General features: G+C 42.7%; 2 annotated features.

The window, feature by feature from the left end:
- Positions 3,433-3,950: an enhancer, noted in NCBI's record as "H3K27ac-H3K4me1 hESC enhancer chr2:164766241-164766758 (GRCh37/hg19 assembly coordinates)". NCBI's record gives its function as "activates a minimal SCP1, AML or CMV promoter by ChIP-STARR-seq in primed H9 embryonic stem cells {active_cell/tissue: H9 hESC(primed)}" and the evidence as "EXISTENCE:reporter gene assay evidence [ECO:0000049][PMID:30033119]".
- Positions 3,951-4,469: an enhancer, noted in NCBI's record as "H3K27ac-H3K4me1 hESC enhancer chr2:164765722-164766240 (GRCh37/hg19 assembly coordinates)". NCBI's record gives its function as "activates a minimal SCP1, AML or CMV promoter by ChIP-STARR-seq in primed H9 embryonic stem cells {active_cell/tissue: H9 hESC(primed)}" and the evidence as "EXISTENCE:reporter gene assay evidence [ECO:0000049][PMID:30033119]".

Here is a 5,656-nt window from a genome sequence, read left to right as displayed (position 1 = left end):
GCCCACCCGGAACTCCAGCTGGCCCGCGCAAGCGCGGTGCGCAGCGCCGGTTCCCGCTCGCGCCTCTCCCTCCACACCTCCCTGCAAGCTGAGGGAGCTGGCTCTGGCCTTGGCCAGCCCAGAAAGGGGCTCCCAGAGGGCAACGGTGGGCTGAAGGGCTCCTCAAGTGCCGCCAAAGTGGGGGTCCAGGAAGAGGAGGCGCCTAGAGCGAGCGAGGTCTGTGAGGACTGCCAGCAGGCTGTCACCTCTCAATATTATCGGTAGCTCATTTTGAATGAAGAAAAAGTTAACCATAACTCCAAATGTTATAAAAGTAAGATTATTATAACTCTCAAACTCTTTCCAATAACTTTGGGGTTTTGTCCTCATCCACATTTCAGTATCAACAAACGACTCATTAATATTATTGATAAAGCTTGTAAGTATTTGAAGATATCAAAAATGTTATCTGTTAATATTACAAAAGTTCATGTTTTGGTGTTTACTTCTAGCTTTAATTATATATATCATATATAAATGTATATTATACATATTTACATATATATGTACATACAAATGTAAATGCTGTCACTCATCTCACTGTTTTTTGTTTTGGAAAATATATTTCCTTTTCAAAATTACTTATCCAAATATGTTTTGGGTTTCATTATGAAACCGGAGGAGTTTTCCCATATACCCCTCGCAGGGTGTGTGACAGGGAGTGTGGCTTGCTTCTTCGGTGCCCCGCTGTTCAAATCCCTAGGGGGAGCATGATGCAGACAAGCAGGTCATGGGGAGTGATTTTGGGGCCCTGACCCCACGGCACTGTCTAGGGTTGAGTGTTTACAGCTCCAGAATCCCCAGCAGGTTTGTGTTACAGTGTGCTCTTTTAGCTTAGCTGTCTGCAGGTGGTTTGTGTTAATCAGCCAATTAGACCCTCTGCCTTATCACAAGGACAGAGAGCTTTCTGTATCTGGGGCTTTTGCCCTAGTCTACAAGAAAAATCAGATCACACATGGGCTTAGAGAATGAATGAGTACAAGGTTTTACTGAGTGGTGAAAGTAGCTCTAAGCTGATGGATGGGGAGCCAGAAGAGGGATGGAGTGGAAAGATGGTCTTCCTGGAATCAGGCCCCTCAGTGGCTGGGTTCTCCTCCAACTGCCCTTGGCTAAATTTCCCTGTGTCTGTGTTGTTCCACCATCGATGGCCTGCCAGCGTCTGTCGTTGTGTTCTTCTGCTGGTGTGTACCTCTCAATATCCAGCTACTTGTGTGTGTGCCTAATAGACTGTTGGGGAAGGCACAGAATTAAGGGTGGGGGGTGGGGGAGGGGCATGGCGGGCCAGAATTGTCTTGGAAAATGCAGCATTTGGGCGCAAAAACAGGAGTGCCTGTCCTCACTTAGGTCCGTGGGCACAGGCCTGAAGGTGGAGCTCTCTCCAGGGACCCCGCCCTTCTCTACCCAGCATTTCCCTGCCCCCTTCTCATATCATTTACTTTTTCCAATTAATAGAAATTTTAAAAATATCTGCTTTAATTTCAAATACAGTAAATTTCAGTAGACAATCCATTTTAAAAATATCTTTGTGATCCTCAGAAATTCTTAAGAGTGTAAAGGGATTCTAAAGCCAAAAAATTTGAAAACTTACTGAAACACCAGGACTTTGGTTTAGGTCCTGCTGCTCACCACACAGCAGGCCAATGACTGAGATGAGGAGTATTCCAGACCATGAGTATTGCCAAGGAAGAAGGATTTAATCAGGTGCTACAGCTGAGGAAATGGGAGCTCAGTCTCAAATCCATCTCCCTGACTGAATAAATTAGGGGTTTATTTAGCAGGGAAGAAATCTAACAATGTAAGGAAAACAGGAACTCTGGCAGCCTAAGGAAGCAATCATGATGAATGAGGGGCCTGGTGTTTCATTTTATGGATGCCATGATCTGGTCAGTTTCAGTTCTTTGGTAGTTTTTGAGAAGCCTAGGAATGGAAGGAACTCAGATAAAACAAATATAAGTTTCAAGCTTTAAGACCAGAAAGGATGATCTCTATATTTATACAAAAAACAAAACTACCTATAAGACTATTGGGTTGGTTTCAAAACCACTAGACTTAATAATGTAAAGGAAAGGTCTAGAAAAGAAAAAGAAGGAGAAGGAGAGGAGGAGGAGGAGAAGGAAGGAGAAACAATCTGTAGAAGTCCTGATTCTAAGTTTTTTAAAATATATATATATCTTCTAAGTTTTTTTTAATATATGCAGAGATGGCAGAGATGGATAGATAGATCATTGTAAGATTTTACATAGGCCATAGAGAATTATTTATTTATATTTAATAATAGTGATTTCCTGGTAATAGGATGTTTTGAATACCAGTATTTTGACATTTGGTTTATTTTAAAGCTATATTCTGATAAAATACTGGAAATAGCTATCTTTGGAGTTATAAAGGAAAGTGCTAAGATATGGTTTAAAAATTAGAGTACTGAACCCTCAACTGAAGTCATCTGGTGCTTAAACAGCTGTTACTTTGAGCAAATGATTTGAATGTCTGTAAGTCTCCATTTTCTAATTTGCAAAGTGAGATGTATAATATCAGTTTTGCAAAGTGTTTTGTAGATTACTGAGATAAAGTGTGACAAATGCCCAGGATGGTTCTGAATACATAGGAGGCACGTAAAAGGCTGCGTCCTGTGGCACCTGACAGTGTGGTCAGCATTCTCATAGTTACGTTTTGCCGCTTTAAAATGAGATGGCACAAATTGTGAAGCCAAACTAATATTTAGGTTCAAATATGCCTCTGATACTGTGTCCAGAATTGGTGGGTTCTTGGTCTCACTGACTTCAAGAATGAAGCCGCAGACACTTGCGGTGAGTGTTACAGTTCTTAAAGGTGGCGTGGCATGTCCAGAGTTTGTTCCTTCTGATGTTTGGATGTGTCTGGAGTTTCTTCCTTCTGGTGGGTTCATGGTTTCGCTGGCTTCAGGAGTGAAGCTGCAGACCTTCACCGTGAGTGTTACAGCTCACAAAGGCAGTGTGAACCCAAAAAGTAAGCAGTAGCAAGATTTATTGCAAAGAGGGAAAGAACAAAGCTTCCACAGTGTGGAAGGGGACCCCAGCGGGTTGCCACTGCTGGCTCAGGCACCCTGCTTTTATTCTCTTATCTGGCCCCACCCACATCCTGCTGATTGGTCCATTTTACAGAGAGCCGATTGGTCTGTTTTACAGAGAGCTGATTGGTCTGTTTTGACAGGGTGCTGAATGGTGCATTTACAATCCCTGAGCTAGACACAAAAGTTCTCCACATCCCCACTAGATTAGCTAGATACAGAGTGTTGATTGGTGTATTTACAAACCTTGAGCTAGATACAGAGTGCCCATTGGTGTATTCACAATCCCTTAGCTAGACATAAATGTTCTCCAAGTCCCCACCAGATCAGCTAGACACAGAGCACAGATTGGTACATTTACAAACCTTGAGCTAGGCAGAGTGCTGATTGGTGCATTTACAAATCTTGAGCTAGATACAGAGTGCCAATTGGTGTATTCACAATCCTTTAGCTAGACATAAAGATTCTCCAAGTCCCCACCAGATTAACTGGATACAGAGTGCCCATTGGTGCATCCACAAACCCTGAGCTAGACAACAGGGTGCTGATTGGTGTATTTACAATCCCTTAGCTAGACCTAAAGATTCTCCAAGTCCCCACCAGACTCAGGAGCCCAGCTGGCTTCACCCATTGGATCCCGCACTGGGGCCACAAGTGGAGCTCCCTGCCAGTCCCGCACCCATGCGCCCGCACTCCTCAGCCTTTGGGCTGTCGATGGGACCGGGCGCCATGGAGCAGGGGGCAGCACTCGTCGGCAAGGCTCGGGTGGCACGCAGGAGCCCATGGTGGCGGGGAAGGCTCAGGCATGGCGGGCTGCAGGTCCCAAGCGCTGCCCCGCGGGGAGGCAGCTAAGGCCCGGCGAGAAATCGAACACAGCGCAGGCGGGCCAGCACTGCTGGGGGACCCGGCGCACCTTCTGCAACTGCTGGCCTGGGTGCTAAGCCCCTCACTGCCCGGGGCCGGTAGGGCCGGCAGGCCGCTCCGAGTGCGGTGCCCGCCAAGCCCACGCCCACCCGGAACTGTAGCTGTCCCGCAAGCCCCACACACAGCCCCAGTTCCCGCCCGTGCCTCTCCCTCCACACCTCCCCGCAAGCTGAGGGAGCCGGCCCTGGCCTTGGCCAGCCCAGAAAGGGGCTCCCACAGTGCAGCCACGGGCTGAAGGGCTCAAGCGCGGCCAGAGTGGGTGCCAAGGCTGAGGAGGCACGGAGAGCAAGTGAGGGCTGCCAGGGCTGCCAGCACGCTGTCACCTCTCAATACTTACTAGCTGTGTGACATTGAGTCGCTTACTTAAACTCTCAGCATCTCAATATTCATATGTGCAAAAAAAGATAATAGCCACCTCATAAAATTGTGCAGAATTAGTTTTCTAACTCTGATGCATGAACTATTGATGCTCAAAGTATCCAATTATATCAAAAATTTCTTCTTTTTATCAACTCTATATCCTTTCTTTATATTATTCAGTCCAGTGGTTTTCAAATTTTTTAGCTTTAGGATCCCTTTACACTCTTAAGAATTACTGAGGCCCACAAAGAGCCTTTTAAACATGGATTATATCTATTGAGATTTACCGTATGTGAAGTTAAAGCAGATGTTTTTTAAATTATTTTATTAATTAATTGGAATAACCCAAACATGTTTGGATAAGTAATTTTGTAAAAGAAATATATTTTTCAAAACAAAAATAGTGAGAAGAGTGACAATATTTACGTTTTAACTTATTATTTGTCTTATTAGAAGACAATCTCAAATCTCCATCTTCATCTAATCTATGGCAAATATGTCATTTTGGTTGAAGTATATGAATAAAATCTGGCCCCACATAAAAATGTGTTGGTAAATGGAAAAAAATTTAATAGCCTCTCCAAATAATTATGAATGTTCTTCTTTGATAACTCACCAAAATTGACAAAGGGTAGTTTTTGAAAGCTTAGTTACAATGTGCAGTTTGAATCCGTATCTAATGTTGTCACATTTAAATACATAAATCTTTCCGGTATTTTGAATGGAACTTTAATAAATGCAAAATTTTATAACACCCCACACTAGTCATTTGTAAAATATTGACTTGTGTGAGTTTTTCAATGATATATTTCATTATACAGAATCAAAAATTGCATTTATTATTATCACTAACAATCTCATCAGGAAAGTCCTTACGTATTGGGAAGCTTTTAAGTTTACAGTGGAGGATACAAGCTTCCACAAATTCTATTTTCACTTAAAATCTCAAATTTTATCACTGACAACAAATACTGTCAGTTCTTTTCCTTAAAGTGACAGGCTCACTTCATTAATTCTTGACAGAATGTCCACCAAATATCCAAATATCCAAAGCTGAACAACCATAGTTTTTCCTGTCAATCTTTTTTTTTAAGTAAAACTTATTTTCCTTAAAAAAGTGGCTAGTTTAGCTTTCAACTCAAACAATCTCAAGAGAACATTTCCTAGTGACAATCATCACACTCTACTTTATGCATACTTCCCATTTTATAAAACAGAATATTAAAAAGATATGTACTCAGGATGGAGAGTTAATAAAAATAATAGTTTTTTTTTTTTTTTTTTTGA

This window comes from Homo sapiens, chromosome 2, assembly GCF_000001405.40.
Source record: "Homo sapiens chromosome 2, GRCh38.p14 Primary Assembly".
NCBI classification, from domain to species: Eukaryota; Metazoa; Chordata; class Mammalia; order Primates; family Hominidae; genus Homo; species Homo sapiens.
This window is presented reverse-complemented; position numbering and strand designations above follow the sequence as displayed.